General features: G+C 38.9%; 1 pseudogene; it reads right to left on the bottom strand.

Moving 5' to 3' along the window:
- RPS23P8 (ribosomal protein S23 pseudogene 8) lies at positions 16,022-16,428 on the bottom strand (annotated as a pseudogene).

Raw genomic sequence — 19,012 nt, 5'->3', positions numbered from 1 at the left:
ACCTTGACCAGTTCTAAGTCATTGCCCTTTTTCTGTGCCCTTTATACTCTTCCCTCTCTACAGGAGATTTCTGTTTTCCCTTCCCTTGCAAACCCCACCCCTACCCCCACCCTTTCAACCATATCGTCCAACGTTGTGCTTGGTGTGAAAATAGCATCCTATGGGCAGTAGAATGGTAGTCACTTAGAGTGTGTTTGAATTTTCTGGTGAAATCCAGGCCCTTTCTGCTACCAAACTGAACTCTAGGCCCTGAGGTTGGTTGGCTCTCCATTCTCATCTCTGCTTCTCTGCCACGGTCTCCTTTGTCGTAGGGAAATGCCAGTCATAGTCATATTTGTGGAATTCCATCCATAGTTTTCAAAAAGTGGTGGAGTCAGGTCTGTCTAAATCCAATGCCTTTGTCTTGCCTCTACCCAAGTCGTTCTCAAACTTCAGTGTGGATCAGAATTTCTCAAAGCTCAGGTTCCCAGACTGAGAAAAGCAAACAAAAAACAAACAAAAACTAGCATTCCCAGTTAAATTTGAAGTTGAATGTGTGTCTCAAATATTGCAAACTTTTATACTAAAAATTTATTCACTGTTCATCTGAAATTCAAACTCAGTGAGTGTCCTGTATTTTATCTAGCAACTCTGTATAGAGAGTTTATTAAAACACGGATTGCTGGGCCCCATCCCTAGAGATTCTGATTCAGTAGGTTTGGATGGGGTCTGAGAATTTGCATATGCTGGTTCAGACACTACACTTCTGAGAACCACTGGCATATAGGTTAAATGGTGAAAGACAAGACGTTGCATCTGTGAAGTCTTCCCCTCAAAGTAGCAAAGCAGAAGGGGGAAAATGGCTAAAAAGAAGGTAACTGCCTGATCAGAAATCCATGTGTGAAGATATATGAATTTTTATTGATAACAATAGCGTGCTAGCTATTCAAAACTATGGATTTTGAGCAGTAATGCAAAAACAATCTAAAATTCAGTTTGGGAAACTTATTCTTACAATTTACCAAAACCTAGTGTTAGTCATTGCTCAATTTTAATTAGGTCAACGAGAATGCCTCCTTTTATAAACTAAAGGATTCTTGACATGTATGAGACATTTATGACCCTTGACAATTATGAGATTATCACAGTTTTTTTTTTTTAATTTTCTTTAGTGGTTGTTTTCATTAATTATAAAAGTATTATGTGATGCTGGGCGTGGTGGCTCACGCTGATGATCCTAGTGTTTTGAGAGACTGAGACGGGTGGATCACTTAAGGTCAGGAGTTCGAGACCAGCCTGACCAACATGGTGAAACCCCGTCTCTACTAAAAATACAAAAATTAGCCGGGCATGGTCGCAGATGCCTGTAATCCCAGCTACTCAGGAGGCTGAGGCAAGAGAATCACTTGAACCCAGCAGGTGGAGGTTGCAGTGAGCCGAGACCATGCCATTGCACTCCAGCCTGGGCAACAAAAGCGAAACTCCGTCTCAAAAAAACAAACAAAAAAAATAGGTCCCAGCACAGTGGTTTACACCTGTAATCCCAGAACTTAGGACAGGGAGGCCAGGGCAGCAAGACTGCTTGAGGCCAGGAGTTTGAGACCAGCCTGGGCAACATAACAAGACCCTGTCTCTACAAAAATAAAAATAAAAAAATTAGCCAAGCATGGTGGTGCATGCCTGTAGTCCTAGCTACCTGAGAGGCTCAGGCAGGAGAATCATTTGAGCTAAGGAGTACCAGGCTGCCATGAGCTATGACTGCACCACTGCACACTCCAGCTGGGATGACAGAGCAAGACACTGTTCCAAAAAAAAAAAAAAAAAAAAAAAAGGCAAAAAATCTGAATAGAGACATCTCAAAAGAAGACACAAATGGCCAAGAAGTATATGAAAAAATGCTTAACATCTGTACTAATCAGGGAAATGCACATCACAACCACAATGAGATATCATCTCATCCCAGTTGGAATGGCTATCATCAAAAAGACAAAAAAAAAAAAAAAAAAAAGCAAATGCTGGCGAAGATGCAGAGAACAGGAAACTCTTGTATACTGTTTATGGGAATGTAAATTAGTACAGGCATTATGGAAAACGGTATGGAGGTTTCTTCAAAAACTAAAAATAAAACTGGTAGATCTAGCTCTCTTATACTAATCCCTGTCTCCACTCCCTACTTCAATTTTTTTTTTTTTTTTTTTTTTAAAGATGGAGTTTCACCTTGTTGCCCAGGCTGGAGTGCAATGGTGCGATCTCCGCTTACTTGCAACCTCTGCCTCCTGGGTTCAAGTGATTCTCCTGCCTCAGCTCCCAAGTACCTGGGATTACAGGCACCTGCCACCACACCCAGCTAATTTTTGTATTTTTAGTAGAGACGGGATTTCACCATGTTGGCCAGGCTGGTCTTGATTCCCTGACCTCAGGTTATCTGCCTGCCTCAGCCTCCCAAAGTGCCGGGATTACAGGCGTGAGCCACCGTGCCCAGCCTCTACTCCAATTTTCATAGTTATATTACTTTTAGTGTTTCTATAGATTAACTTTGTAACATTAAAAAATAAAACTTTAAGCCTGGCATGGTGGTTGAGTACCCCGTCTCAAAAATAAAAAAAATAAAATAAAATAAAATAAAATAAAATAAAATTGTATTTCTTATTCTGTCAACTCTGATTGTATTTGTTGACTTCCCATTATGTAAGAGGAAGTTATGAATTCCCCATACCTTTTCTCCCAACTTCTCTCCCACCTCCACATTAGGTATATCTTAACTTCTACCTTGTCAAGGTTAAGAACAGTTACAATCTGTTGGGTAACGGTAATTAATTTTTCCATGCATTGTTTATAGGTTGATGCTAAAAGTTGTAAAGCAATAAGCAATATTTGCAGTATTACAACTATATAAATGTTTTTCACTGCAGAGACAGGAAGGGTTTTAGGATTACACTTTCTTTTCTAGTGGCACAATGTCATGATTTCTGTGCTACTTGAAGAATATTCCTAGAGTCAAGGTCAGATGAACTCTCTTCTTACACTCCATCCAAAATCATACCACATTTTAGTCTGCTTCATATTTTCTTCTTGTTATACATGCTTATCAAGATTCTGTCTTTCCAAGCTGGAGAAGATTCTATCTCAGGGTCTGGATTTCTCACTACCCCAACTCAGGGGAGTGCTATACGGCCATTTTCCCTTGGCGATTGTGTATGGAAAACAATAAATACAGGAGGCTGTATAAATGTAACAGTTTAAATGAAAAAAGAAATTGTCAAGTGTCCCTCCCTGATTCTACCCATCTCTTTCTACTCCCCACCGCCTCTGCCAGGTAACCACAGTCATGAATTTCGTGATAACTATTCCCTCAAATAAAAAATAATAATTTTGCCATCTGAGAATGTATCCCTAAATAATATAGTTTAGTTTTGCCTGATTTTGAACTGTATATAAATGGAATCATACTACATATGTTCTCTTGTGATTTTCTTCTTTTATTCATATTTGAACTTTTGTTTAAATTTATGCTTATTGTTTTCTGCTTGTTCTGTTAGTTACTGAAACAGCTGTCTTAAATTTACTATGATTGTAGTTTTTTTTCTGTTTGTTTCTTCTTCTGCGTCAAAATTTTCTTTGCATTTTATAGCCATATTATCACATACATATTATCATCCATTTTAAAGTACACAAGCAAACATTCTTTAATAGTATTTTGCAATATTCAGTTTTTTTCTTTTAACTATTACTTCCAACTGGGCACAGTGGCGCACATGCCTATAGTCCTAGCTACTCAGGAAACTGAGGTGGGAAGATTGCATAAGCTCACACGCCTAGTCCAGCCTGGGCAACATAGCAAAATCCTACCTCTAAAACAACAACAACAAAAAACTATGATTCCATTCCACTTCTCCCACAGAATTTTGTCCTAATAGGATATATTTTATGCTTGAAAGTCTTTTTTATTGCCCACCATACTTCTCTGCCTCAAAAATATATGTATTTTGGATTTTTTTTTTTTTTGAGGTGGAGTCTCACTCTGTCACCCAGGCTGGAGTGCAGTGGCACGATCGCGGCTCACTGCAACCTCTGATTCCCAGGTTCAAGCAATTCTCCTGCCTCAGCCTCCCAAGTAACTGGGATTACAGGTGTGTGCCACCACACCCAGCTAATTTTTGTGTTTTTAGTGGAGACGGTGCTTCACCAAGTTGGCCAGCCTGCTCTCCAACTTCTGACCTCAGGTGATCCACCCACCTTGGCCTCCCAAAGTGCTGGGATTACAGGCGTGTGCCACCACCCCCAGCTAATTTTTGTATTTTTAGTAGAGATGGGGTTTCACCATGTTGGCCAGGCCCGTCTTGAACTCCTGACCTCAGATGATCCACTCGCCTTGGCCTCCCAAAGTGCTGGGATTGCAGGCGTGAGCCCCTGTGCTCGGCTGTAAAACAGTGATATTCTAATTCCGTTATTAATCATTAAAGAGAAACATCCTCTCGTCTATTATTTGGTTGCCCAATAGTATAGTTTTTAAGGAAAAGCAAGATAAATGCTTGATTTTTCCCTTTAACATTTTCAAAAATATTGAGTTGGTTTTCTATCATTCTAAAATTTTCAGTAATTTAAAAAAACAGAATCATTATGAACTTGTGGATTTATACCACCAATATAGTTGGTATTTTGGGCTTATCTTGTAAATTCCCTGTCCCAGACCTGGAATCAGCCATTCTCCAAAAAGCCCTGGTTTCTTTTTAGTGAAGAATGGTATTTCAAGGCTACAGTCTTGATGGTAGCAATGCTCATAGCTACTGGGCTGGTCATTGTTTCTAAACTTTTTAAAGAAGAAAATGCCTCATGAATTCACAGTGATTATTTTATTTTATTTTATTTATTTATTTTGAGACAGAGGTTTGCTCTTGTTGCCCAGGCTGGAGTGCAATGGTGCGATCTCGGCTCACCACAACCTCTGCCTCCCGGGTTCAAGTGATTCTCCTGTCAGTAGCTGGGATTATAGGTGTGCGCCACCACGCCCGGCTAATTTTTGTAATTTTAGTAGGGACAGGGTTTCACCATGTTGACCAGGCTGGTCTTAAACTCCTGACCTGAAGTGATCCACTCGCCTCAGCCTCCCAAAGTGTTGGGATTACAGGCATGAGTCATAGCACCAGGCCAGCGCAATGATAATTTTAATTCAAATTCAGGTCTATGGGGTTTTCCTTAACTATCTTACATTTGAATCTCCTTTCACACTTGAGAATCTTGGTTCCCAAGGACATACAGGATAATACATTCAAATATCACATAACTACTCATTTGCTTTATCCCCTGTAATACACACAACTGTCTCAGCATAGTAATATTAGTACTACCACCACCAATATGATTATGAAAACAATTTGAAATGTTTTTTGCATATCATCTCTTCACTCTTTTCCCATCTTTAGTGATTACATACTGTACTCTGAGAACCTTCACTGAATCTTACTTCTACAAGTATCCTTGTGTGTTTATTAAGTTTATTTAATGTTCACCAACAGTCCTTATGTCATTGTATTTCTAGTTATTTTGCCTTTCTGGACTTTGTTCCATAATAGATTCCTCAGGAAGGGTTCACAGGAGCAACATTTCCTATGTGATTGTGGATTGTTAATAGTTTGTAGCCTCTATCCTGGAAAGCCAGTGTATTAATTTGCTAAGGTTGACATGACAAAATTACAGATTGAATGACAAAAACAGAAATGTATTTTCTCACAGTTCTGGAGGCTAGAAGTCCAAAATTGGGGTATTTGGAAGGTTTGGTTTCTCAGAGGCTTCTCCCCTTGGCTTGCAGATGGCTGCCTCTTGCTGTGTCCCCACATGGTCTTTTCCCTGGTGTCTTTGTGAGTCTACATTTCTTCTTTCTATATTTATTTTTATTTTATTTTATTTTTTGAGACAGGGCCTTGCTGAGTCACCCAGGCTAGAGTGCAGTGGCATGATCAAAATGCGTCACTGTAGCCTTGACCTTCCAGACTCAAGCGATTCTCCCACCTCAGCTTCTCAAGGAACTGGGACTACAGACCTGTGCCACCATGCCTGGCTAACTTTTTAAAAAATTTTTGTAGAGACAGTGTCTCCCTATGTTGCCTAGCCTGGTCTCAAACTCCTGGGCTCGAATGATCCTCTGGCCTCAGCCTCCCAAAGTGCTGGGATTACAAGTGTGAGCCACCCTGCCTGGCCTCCTCTTCTTATAAAGACACTAGTGAGTTTGGATTAGTGCCCACCTAGCAGCTTCATTTTAATCACCTCTTTTGGGCCGGTGCAGTGGCTCACACCTGTAATCCCAGCACTTTGGGAGGCTGAGATAGGTGGATCACTTGAGGCCAGGAGTTCAAGACCAGCCTAGGCAACATGGCAAAACCCCATCTCTACTAAAAAGTACAAAAATTAGCCAGGTGTGGTGGTGCACACCTGTAGTCTCAGGTACTTGGGAGGCTGATCGCACCACTGCACTCTAGCCTGGGTGACAGAGCTAGACTCTGTCTCAAAAAAAAAAAAATCACCTCTTTTAAAGGCCCAATATCCAAATACAGTCTCATTCTGAGGTATTGGGAGTTAGGGAATCAACATATGCATTTGGGGTGAAGGACACAATTTAGCCCATAACAGTCAATTTGGCTGGATAGAAAAGTCTTTGGCTCACATTTTTTTTTCCAACTTTTATTTTAGGTTCCAGGGTAAATGTGCAGGTTTGTTATATAGGTAAACTCGTGCCATAGGGGTTTGTATATAGATTATTTCATCAGCCAGATACTAAGCCTAATACCCAATAGTTATTTTTTCTGCTCCTCTCCTTCCTCTCACCCTCTACCCTCTAGTAGGCCCCAGATAGCGCATTTGTTGTTCCCCTCTATGTGTCCATGTGTTCTCATCATTTAGCTCCCACTTATAAGTAAGAAATGTGGTATTTGGTTTTCTGTTCCTGCGTTAGTTTGCTAAGGCTAATAGCCTCCAGCTCCATCCATGTTCCTGTAAAGGACATAGTCTTGTTCCTTTTTATGGCTGTGCAATATCCCATGGTGTATATGTACCACATTTTCTTTATCTAGTCTACCATTGATGAGGATTTAGTTTGATTCCATGTCTTTGCTATTGTGAATAGTGCTGTGATGAACATATGTCTGTATGTGTCTTTATGGTAGAACTATTTATATTCTTTTGTGTATATACCTAATAATGGGATTGCTGAGTCGAATGGTAATTTTGTTTTAAGTTCTTTGAGAAATCACCACACTACTTTCCACAATGGCTGAACTAATTTACATCCCTACCAGCAGTATATAAGCATTCCCTTTTCTCTGCGACCTCACCAGCATCTGTTATTTCTTTGACTTTTTAATAATTGACTCACATTTTCTTTCCTGAAATGTACTTGAATATGCTACCTTATTTTCTTATGGCATAAAGCATTGCTGTTAATGTATCTGATGACTGGCTTATTTTCTTTCCATTGTTCTCTTTGCCTGGATGCATTTTTTTTTCTTTAAAGTCCATTAATTTTACTAGAATATATTTCAATGTTGGTCATTTTGGGATGATTTTCTCAGGCACACGAACTGTCTTTTTAATATATTGTTTTAGGCTGGGTGCAGTGGCTCACGCCTGTAATCCCAGCACTTTGGGTTGCCGAGGCAGGTGGATCACCTGAGGTGAGGAGTTCAAGACCAGCCTGGCCAACATGGTGAAATCCCGTCTCTACTAAAAATATAAAAAATTAGCCAGGCATGGTGGCGGGTGCCTGTAATCCCAGCTACTCAGGAGGCTGAGACAGGAGAATTGTGTGAAGCTGGGAGGCGGAGGTTGCAGTGAGCCAAGATCATGCCATCGCACCCCAGCCTGGGCAACAGAGCAAGACTCTGTCTCAAAAAAAAAAAAAAAAAATATATATATATATATATATATATACATATATATATAGTTTCAAGTCTTTGTTAAAAATTGTTTCATTGTGACATAGAGCTGATCAAAACAATTTAAAAAAATTTAAAATAAAGTTGTTTCAGGAAAACTTTCTTATAGTCTTTATTATTTATTATTTTCCCTTGCTTTGGTTTTCTTCTATGTATGTTGGATTTTCTTTAACTGTCTTTTAAATGTATCACTTTCTCTCAAATCCTTTTATCTCTTTTTTTCTATTCTTTTTGTTTTAAAAATTTATTTCTTTTCATCTTCTGTTTCTCTTAAGGCATTATGTTTTGTGTTTATTTGCTCTTGAGATCCTTCTAGTTTAGAATTCATTTCTGATTGTTTTCTTTTATTTTCAATTATTTATTTAGTCCTATTACTCATTTTTTGAGTTTTTCTAGTTCTGATTTATTTTGTTATTTCATATCTTGTATCATTTTTAACGTCTTTTTACTTGTTTTGAAATAGTAGATTATAGTTTTTATGTTTTGTAGTCATGTATTTCTGCCATGCTTTCATTGTCAAAGGCTGTTATTCTCCTTATTCTCTTTATTCTTATAATAAATGCAACCTTGACCCTTTCTGTTGACCATTTCTATAGGAGTTTTTTTTTCTTGTAGAAGGCTGGGTTCAGAATAGATTTTCTAATTTCATGGCTTTTAGCTCCCTCTTCTGTTGCTTTTGTGTAGTTTTTTAAAATGTAGCAACTTTCTTTCTCAGATATCTTGGCGCTGTTTTACTCCTCCACTTTCATCTGAACCTTCTTTTGCTGTGCTGCTATGTTTGGATTCTATTCCCAGCAGTTTCTTTTCAATGTGGGGATTTGTCCTGGAATGGAGCTTTAGCTGGTTAGTTTTGAGAGTGCATGGGGCTCACACTGTTCCAGACCCGTGAAACTGCCTTTGCAAAAATTCTAACACTGAGAAAATTATGGCAGTGAAGGAGATCTGAGCTGGCTAACCCCATCTTGCCTTTGGCCTTAAAGCTGCCCTTAATTATTCCTGGGCTTAGGCCAAACTAACTTTGGGAGACATTTAGCTTATAGTTTAAATGATAATAGCCCTTCCCCAAAACTCAACCACCTTTGTAAAGCTAATGAGAGACCACCAGGCTGAGAGGATAAAGGAGCCTGAATTCTACCAAGGTGCAAACATAAATGATTTCCAGCCCTTATTTTGGAGGTCACACGATATGCATCTTCCCCAATTACTCCTGCAGATAATATCACTATTGTAGAACCTAAGATTGGTCTTTTGAGGTCTCTTTTCAGGTTTTTTGCATGTCTGATATCGATGGCGCCACCTGGACTCTCGTCAGCCACTCTTACGGCCCCACCCAGAAGCGACTCAGAGATCAGGAAAACCATACCCCTATGATTGCACACCCAACCAATCAGTAGCAAGCACCCATTGCCTAGCCACCCCCACCCCTTCCCCCAAACTACCTTTGAAAAGCCCTAGCTCCCAAATTCTCTGGGAGATTGACGTGAGTAATAATAAAACTCTGGTCTTCAGTTCAGCCAGCTCTACGTGAATTAAGCTCCTTCTCTATTGTAATTCACTTACTTTGATAAATCGGCTCTATTTGGGCAGCAGGCAAGAAGAACCTATTGGGCGGTCACACCCAAATTGTTCCAACCTCTTTAGGTCTTACCTGCTACTGGAATATGCGTAGCCTCTTCCAGTTTCAGCTGTTGTCCTCAAATTGTCCCTCTAGGCTTCCCAGTGAGTAACTTTGGCTCTTTGGGGAGTTTTGGTTTTGCTATCCCATTTTCTCTGTCTTTATGGCAGGGAGGGTTGAGGGATATTCTTTTCTTTCCGACATTTATTTTTAAAAACTATGCCATCTCCACCAACTCCCAAGAATCCTTTTGTCCATTTTTAAAAATTATTATTTTAGAGACAGGCTCTTGCTGTGTCACACAGGCTGGAGTGCAGTTGGCATTATCATAGCTCACTGCAGCCTTGAATTCCTGGGCTCAAGCAATCCTCCTGCCTCAGCCTCCTAAGTAGCTGGGACTACAGGTTTGTGCCACCAAGCCTGGCTAATCTTTATTTATTTATTTTTAGAGATGGCATCTGGTTATGTTGCTTAGACATGTCTCGAACTCCTGGCCTCAAGTGATCTTTCCGCCTCAGCCTCCCGAGTAGCTGTGATTACAGGCACAAGCCACCTCACCCAGCTTCTCCTGCCCATTAAGTTTTCATTGCAATTATTATATTTCTCAATTTTACACATTCTAAAATCCATTTAAATCAACTTTTGAAGTGTTATTTATTGACAATAAAATGTACCTATATTACATGTACAGTTTTATGAGTTTTGACAAATCAATACTCCTGTGTAATCATCATCACCAACAAGAGAGAATATTTCTAGCATTCCAGAAAGTTCACTTGTGCCCCTTCTCAGTCAATCCTCCCCAACCATGGTCCGAGGCAACCATTTATCTGCTTCCTGTTACTATAGATTTGCCTGTTCTAGAATGCATACAAGTGGAATTGAACAGTATGTACTTTTCTGTGTCTGGGTTCTTTTGCTCAGAATAATGTTTTAGAGATTCATTCATGTTGTTGCCTATATCAATAGTTTGTTCCTTTTTAATGCTAGTATTTCTTCTTATGGATATGCCACCATTAATTCTATTGATGGACATTTGGGTACTTTTTAATGTTTGGCTATTGTGAATAAAGCAGAATATTCTTGTGCATATCTCGTGATGGATATATGCACTCATCGCTGTTTAGTGTTTGCCTTGGAGTGGAATTTCTGGGTCACAGGGTACTTGTATGTTTGGCCTTATTAGATACTGCCAAGTAGGTTTCCAAAGTGGTTCTATCAATTTACACTCCTGCTAGTAATTATGAGAGTTCAGGTTGCTCCACATCCTTACCAAAAATTGGCATTTTAGGTTTTTTTTTTTTTTTTTTTTTGACACGGTGCAATTTTGGCTCACTGCAACCTCTGCCTCCTGGGCTCAAGTGATCCTTTCACCTCAGCCTTCCAGATAGCTGGAACTACAGGTGTGGGCTACCACACTCTGCTAATTTTTGTATTTTTTGGTAGAGATGTGGTTTCACCATGTTGCCCAGGCTAGTCTTGAACTCTTGGGCTCAAGCAATCCTCCTGCCTTGGCCTCCTAAAGTGTTGGGATTACAGACGTGAGCCACCATGCCTGGCCAGTATTTTTAAAAATAATTTAAACTTTCTGGTGAGAGAGAGAGTTTTAGTAATTTTTGACAGTGAGCTGCTCATTTTTCTTGGAAAATTATTTGTCGGAATTTTTTGAGTCATAGGGTAAAGGAGCATTTTTTCAGAAAGTTGTGTTTGCTTCTGCTAGGTACTTATGGGCAGTGCTAGTCTCTGACTGTGTAAACTAATTTAAGATTTTTAGACCACCAGTGGTGTATGTTTTAACTGTAAACTTGTGCAAGGACCAGCTTATTGTTCAATTTCTCAGGGACTTATTTATCCCCTCTACTCTGTTCAGAGCAAAGGCAACTTTTCCTTCAGTCCCTTTGGACTGGGGAGTAAGGTGGGGTGGGATAACGTTCTAATCTACCCTTACTTAAGGTTGTAGCCCTTTCTGAATCCAACTAAGACCCAAGGGTACAGAAAGAGGACCTCCTTTTAGTCTTCCCACCTTGGATGGACCTAAGGGTCTATGGGTAATTTAGCTGAAGGTTGCCAAGTTTTGTAGATACTCTCATGCCAAAAGCAGCTTCAGTATACCACACGTCTGTATGTAACAGGGTATGAATTCCCTTTTATCTTGATAATTCTTTATCATCTTATCAGTCCTTTGATATTTTTAAATAAGTTATTTTATGCTTTATCCAATCTCTTAAGTGATTTTCTGTGAGAGGGTTGGTGCAGATCCTAATCCACCATATTATCAGGAATGGAAATTTTGTTTCATATTTCTGTCATTATTTTCTGGTATAGTTTTTATTTATTTGTTTTTCCTGGAGTTTCTAATTGCCTTTTGTATTTTCTTTTTGAGAAAAGAGACATGACTTCTTCTTCTTCTTTTTTTTTTTCTGATACAGAGTCTCACTCTGTCACCCAGGCTGGAGTGCAGTTGCACGATCATGGCTCACTACAGCCTCCACCTGTCGGGCTCAAGTGATCCCCCCACCTTGGCCTCCTGATTAGCTGGGACTACAGGCACATGCCACAGCACTCAGCTAATTTCTTTCTTTCTTTTCTTTTTTTTTTTGGTAGAGACAGAGTCTCACTATGTTGCCCAGACTTGTCTTGAACTCCTGGCTCAAGTGATCCTCTCACCTCGGCCTCCCAAAGTACTGAGATTACAGGCATGAGCTACCATGCCCAGCTGACTTCTTCACATCATTAATATTTTCCAGCTTCTTACTCAGTCTACTCATTGGTTGGAATCTATTTCATTCTTCTTCTTCTTTTTTCTTAATCGAAAGGGGGTCTCACTATATTGCCTAGGCTGGTCTTGAACTCCTGAGCTCAAGTGATCCTCCTACCTCAACCTCCCAAAGTGCTGGGATTACAGGCATGAGCCACTGCACCTGGCCTATTTCATTCTTCTTGAAGACATTCTTTCTATAGCACTGGTTTCTTTTTTAATTGATACATAATATTTGTACATATTTTGGGGGTACATTTGATATTTTGACACATGCATACAATGCATAATGATCAAATCAGGATATTCAGGACATTTGTCGCCCTGAACATTTGTCATTTCTTTGTGTTGGGAACATTTCAAATCTTCTCTTCTAGCTATTTTGAAATATACAATATATTATTAACCATAGTCACCCTACTATGCTATGGAACACTAGCACTTACTCCTTCTAATGGTGTTTGTACCCACTAACTAGTCTCTCTTCATTCCCTTCCCATACACTTCCCAGTCTCTGGTAACTATCATTCTACTCTTTATCACCATGACATCAATTTTTCCAGCTCCCAAATATGAATGAGAACCTGTGATATTTGTCTTTCTGTGCCTGACTTAAATCACTCAATATAATGTATTCCTCCAGTTCCATCCATGTTGCTGCAAATGACAGGATTTCATTATTTTTTAGGGATAGATAGTATTCCACTGTGTATATATACCACATTTTATTTATCCATTCATCTGCCATTCATCTGTTGATGGACATAAGTTGATTCCATATCTTGGTCATTGTGAATAGTGCTGCAATAAATATGGGGGTGCACATATGCCTTTGATATGTGTGATTTCCTTTCCTTTTGATACCCAGTAGTGGGATTGCTGGGTTGTATGGTAGTTTTATTTTTGGTTTTTTGAGAAACTTCCATACTGTTTTCCATAATGGCTATACTAGTTAGCATTCCCACTGACAGCGTGTAAGAGTTATCTTTTCTTTGTATTTTCACCAGCATTTGATATTTTTTGTCTTTTTAGTGATAGTCATTCTAGCTGAGATGATATCTCACTGTGGCTTTGATTTGCATTTCCCTGATGAGTAGTGATGTTGAGGATTTTTTCATATACCTATTGGCCATTTGTATGTCTTCTTTTGAGAAATGTCTGTTCAGATCTGTAGCACTGGTTTCTTATTCTAAATTGGACTGATTGCTTTTCAGACCTACTTTATAATTTTTAACCTTAGAACTTTTCTCTCATTGGATTTACGAGTTATCCACTATTTCTTGCTTCCCATGTTTTTTCCTTTCTTGCATTTACCCAGGTTTTGTTAGAGTACATGCTTATGATGATTTGGCTGTTTTTTTTTTATTTTTTATTAATTTTTTTGAGATGGAGTCTCGCTCTGTCGCCAGGCTGGAGTGCAATGGCGCGATCTTGGCTCACTGCAATGTCTGCCTCCCAGGTTCAAGTGATTCTCCTGCCTCAGCCTCCCGAGTAGCTGGGACTACAGGCGTGCACCACCACGCCCAGCTAATTTTTGTATTTTTAGTAGAGATGGGGTTTCACCATGTTGGCCAGGATGGTCTTGATCTCTTGACCTTGTGATCCACCTGCCTCGGCCTCCCAAAGTGCTGGGATTACAGGCGTGAGCCACCGTGCCCGGCTTTGGATAGGTTTTTAATTCTAACTTCAGAGTAATTTTCCCTCAGAATTTTAAAGTGGTCTCACATCCGGTGTTGTTAATGAGAAATCTGCTTTTTATTTCTTTATGAGTGACCTACTTTTCCTTTCTGGAAGCAGTTACAATTTTCTTTTTATTCCTGATAGTGTAAAGTGATATAGTGTCTAGGTGTGGACTTTTTCCCCTCCTTTGATCTTATTAGATCCTTGCAATCTACTCTGAAGTATCTCTGTTCCCTCCAGGTAAATTCTGCTTGTTTATCTTGGCGTTTCTTTTTATATGCTATTTTTCTTCATATTTCTGGTAGTCTTTGTTTCTTCATATTTAAAAATGAAGCAATAGGTAGTTGATACAGGTTTCTCTACTTTATATATGCAGATCCATTTTCTCACTGGGGTTTTCCCCTGGATAGGGAGTCTAACTAAGACATCTGTGTAACTGGTCAGGACTTGTGACTAGCGACTTTCTCTTTTATTTTTTTATTTTTTATTTATTTTTTATTATTATTATACTTTAAGTTTTAGGGTACATGTGCACAATGTGCAGGTTAGTTACATATGTATACATGTGCCGTGTTGGTGTGCTGCACCCATTAACTCGTCATTTAGCATTAGGTATATCTCCTAATGCTATCCCTCCCCCCTCCCCCCACCCCACAACAGTCCCCAGAGTGTGATGTTCCCCTTCCTGTGTCCATGTGTTCTCATTGTTCAATTCCCATCTATGAGTGAGAACATGCGGTGTTTGGTTTTTTGTCCTTGTGATAGTTTACTGAGAATGATGATTTCCAATTTCATCCATGTCCCTACAAAGGACATGAACTCATCCTTTTTTATGGCTGTGTAGTATTCCATGGTGTATATGTGCCACATTTTCTTAATCCAGTCTATCATTGTTGGGCATTTGGGTTTGTTCCAAGTCTTTGCTATTGTGAATAGTGCCACAATAAACATACATGTGCATGTGTCTTTATAGCAGCATGATTTATAGTCCTTTGGGTATACACCCAGTAATGGGATGGCTGGGTCAAATGGTATTTCTAGTTCTAGATCCCTGAGGAATCGCCATACTGACTTCCACAATGGTTGAACTAGTTTACAGTCCCACCAACAGCGTAAAAGTGTTCCTATTTCTCCACATCCTCTCCAGCACCTGTTGTTTCCTGACTTTTTAATGATTGCCATTCTAACTGGTGTGAGATGGTATCTCATTGTGGTTTTGATTTGCATTTCCCTGATGGCCAGTGATGATGAGCATTTTTTCACGTGTCTTTTGGCTGCATAAATGTCTTCTTTTGAGAAATGTCTGTTCATATCCTTTGCCCACTTTTTGATGGGGTTGTTTGTTTTTTTCTTGTAAATTTGTTTGAGTTCATTGTAGATTCTGGATATTAGCCCTTTGTCAGATGAGTAGGTTGTGAAAATTTTCTCCCATTTTGTAGGTTGCCTGTTCACTCTGATGGTAGTTTCTTTTGCTGTGCAGAAGCTCTTTAGTTTAGTTAGATCCCATTTGTCAATTTTGGCTTTTGTTGCCATTGCTTTTGGTGTTTTAGACATGAAGTCCTTGCCCATGCCTATGTCCTGAATGGTAATGCCTAGGTTTTCTTCTAGGGTTTTTATGGTTTTAGGTCTAACATGTAAGTCTTTGATCCATCTTGAATTAATTTTTGTATAAGGTGTAAGGAAGGGATCCAGTTTCAGCTTTCTACATATGACTTTCTCTTTTAGACTTAGGTTAGGGAAGCTGCCTTTAGGCTGGAGGCCCTCAAATGCCAAATTAGGAAGAATTTTATTTTGCTCTGTGGCACTAGCACCTACATGATCCTTAGTTTTCTTTAGGCAGCTTATTCTATTTCTGTTGAGTCCTCCAGTTTCCTTTCCTTTCCTTTCTTTCCTTTTCTTTTCTTTCTTTTCTCTTCTTTCCTTTTCTTTTCTCCCTTCCCTTCCCTTCCCTTCCCTCCTTTTTTTTTGGCTAGGAGATAAAGATTGGGCTAACTATGCTAAATATGGGGATGATGGGTGGGGGGATCATAAGGAGCCAATGGGGGCACTTCTTTTTTTTTTTTTTTTGGCATATGAAAATTTATTACTACAGGGTTTTCACCATTAATATTTATGATCTTGGTCTTTCCTTCTTGCCTTTGTATAGGGCCAAAAGAGAAACATTGGCTACTTTGACAACCTTAAAGCGGACTCCAGGAATATCACCAACAGCATGACCTTTGCGACCAAATCCAGCAACCAGAACTTCATCATTTTCCTCAATAAAGTTTAAGCAACCGTCGTTGGGTACAAAGGCTGTGATTTTCTTGCCATTCTTGATCAGCTGGACCCTTACACACTTCCTAATGGCAGAATTTGGCTGTTTGGCTTCAACTCCTACTTTTTCCAGCACGATTCCTTTTGCATGATAAGCACCTCCAAAAGGGTTGGCCTTTAGGGCTGGGGGGCACTTCTTTCACAGGTTTTCAGTTCACCCCCTAGTTTTCGGACTCCCTTCTTATTTTGACCTTGAGCACTTCCTAGCTCTGAAACAGGAACCTCTCTGGGATTCTGCCAGGCACGTTGGCTTGTTCCATTCTGTTTCATCAGTTGACACACTTCCAATCTTCCAAAAATTTGTTAAGCCCATTTTCTTCACTCTTAAGGGCTTATTCTTTTATTACCATTTTAATGGGATGTCAAAAGGGAGGGAGATAAGCACATATCTTTAATCAGACATCTTCAATCAGACATCTTCATTTAGAACTCTCTTATCTTTATAATGGCTTTATAGTAGACCTTTGTGTGGATGTAATATAGTTTATTAAATGCCCAGGTGATGGACATTTGGGTTCTTTCCAGTTTTTCACTATTCAAGCAATGTTATAGTGGACATCTTTTGTACGTAAATCTTTGGGCACCTGTGCAAGTATTTCTATAAGATAAATTCATAGAAGTAAAATTGGTAGATATTGCCAAATCATTCTCTTAAAACATTGATCCCCTTCACACACTCAAAACAGCAAAAAGTGGAAATTTCTTCCCTACATCTTCACAACACATTATCATTAATCTTTTTTCATCTTTGCCAATATGATGAGGAAAAATTGGCTCACTCATTGTTTTAATTTGTATTTCTTAATTGTGAGTGAAGTTGAGCGTTTTTTTCAGATATATTGGTCATTAACCAATTTTTTTTCCGTTGGTTGCCTATTGATGTCCTTTGCGTATATTGTTTGTCTTTTTCCCATAGATTTGTAGGAGCTCTTTTTATATTATGTATCACAATTCTGAATCTGGGTTTACATCATTAATAAGTTTGGAATATGTAGGGTGAAACCAAATTAAGCAACCTCCTTTACCACAGGATTTTTAAAAAGCCTTTAATGTGATAATTACATTGTGAAGAAGTGAACTTAGTATGTGACATTTCTCAGATTAATCTGACCATAGAACTATTTTTTCTGGAAGTATCTTGAGGAACTAATTCTGAGGGACCAATTTGGGAGCCACTGTCCTACCTAGTGATTAAGCTCATAAGAATGAGAACTATAGAACTATGCATTATTGACCATTTTATGTTCAGCATCCAGTACCTGGTATGTAGTAAATGCTCTGTGAATATTTGTTGAATGAATATGTTAATGCCTAATAAATGAGCATTTTTGCACCTACTAATATGGTACTTTGATAGATATTGTTCAAGATGTAGTATTATTTTATTTCATCTAATCTGAAAATCATTGACTATAAGATGCACCCATATTTTATGCACCGTTAATAAAGAACAAAATACTGCCAACTAAATTATAACACAAGGCTGGGCACGGTGTTCCCAGCACTTTGGGAGGCTGAGGCAGGAGATTCTCTTGAGGCCAGGAGTTCAAGGCAGCAGTGAGCTATGCTTGTGCCAGCTGCCCTCCAGCCTGCATGACAGAGAGAGATGCAGTCTCTAAGTAAATAAATAAATTATAACACAAGACAATTTTAGCATCTAGAATTTATATTTTATAATTATTGTAGGTTCTGTTTAAGACTTGTTTAGGAGCTGGGCACGGTGGCTCATGCCTGTAATCCCAGCACTTTGGGAGGTTGAAGCGAATGGGTTGCTTGGTCCCAGGAATTTGAGACCAGCCTAGGCAACATGGCAAAACACTGTCTCTCTCTTTTTTTTAAAAGACTTATTTAGAAATGGATTTTTATCATATATCACTATCCTGCATATGTTGCAAGGAACATTGAAAGGAAATAAATAAAACTGGTTAAAGTATTTCTAAAATATTTTTACATTTGGAGATCTGACTTCGAATTACTGTTTGACTCAGTCAACATGTTCTGAGTTTTCCATAAAATATTATTCTCTTTGTCATTAAGAACACTGAGGATTTCCGGGGGAAAAAATTGTGTCCTATTATTGTTTTCTTCTAAGTTGCTGACATCTATTATGCAAGTTTTGACGCTGGTGCTTTTTTGATCTTACCAGAAGGTGTCAGGCAATGACAACTACATCACAACTGCTGCTAGCCGACAGCAAACGTGAGATTCCATTAATTGTAAGATGCGTCCCAATTTCAGAAATTTTAAAAACATGAAGAAATGTGCATCTTTGAATCAATGAAATATGCTATTAGATATTATCATTCTTCTCTTCCTGAATTCTGCATTTCTGTTTAGCTAAATTTCATTTTCTCTTTTCCTTTATAGCCTAGCTTCTCAGAAGAGTAGTCTGCATTTGCTCTTTTTTTTCCTTCTTTTCCATTCACTCCTTAATCCACTGCATTATGACCCTTCCCATCTCTCCAGTCTGTTTTCAGTACTTATATACATTCATTCAACAACCAGTGATTGTTTATTGTCTGTTTGGGAAGAGAAATCACAGAATTTTAGAGCTAGATGATCTCCTAATTCTGTCTTGTTTTATATGGCAAACCATCACATATTTGGCTATTATCTGTGGCCTTTTTCTCACATGCCTCGTTTTAGATTCATTTTATTCAAGTTCAATAGTTCTAACTTCTTTAGCCAGTCCCCATGTTACAAGGTTTCCCAAAAACGTCCCATCTTAGTTGCCTT

The sequence above is a fragment of the Homo sapiens genome, chromosome X (genome assembly GCF_000001405.40).
Source record: "Homo sapiens chromosome X, GRCh38.p14 Primary Assembly".
NCBI lineage: Eukaryota > Metazoa > Chordata > Mammalia > Primates > Hominidae > Homo > Homo sapiens.
Note: the sequence above shows the minus strand (reverse complement) of the source record. Positions and strands in the feature narration are given on the sequence as shown.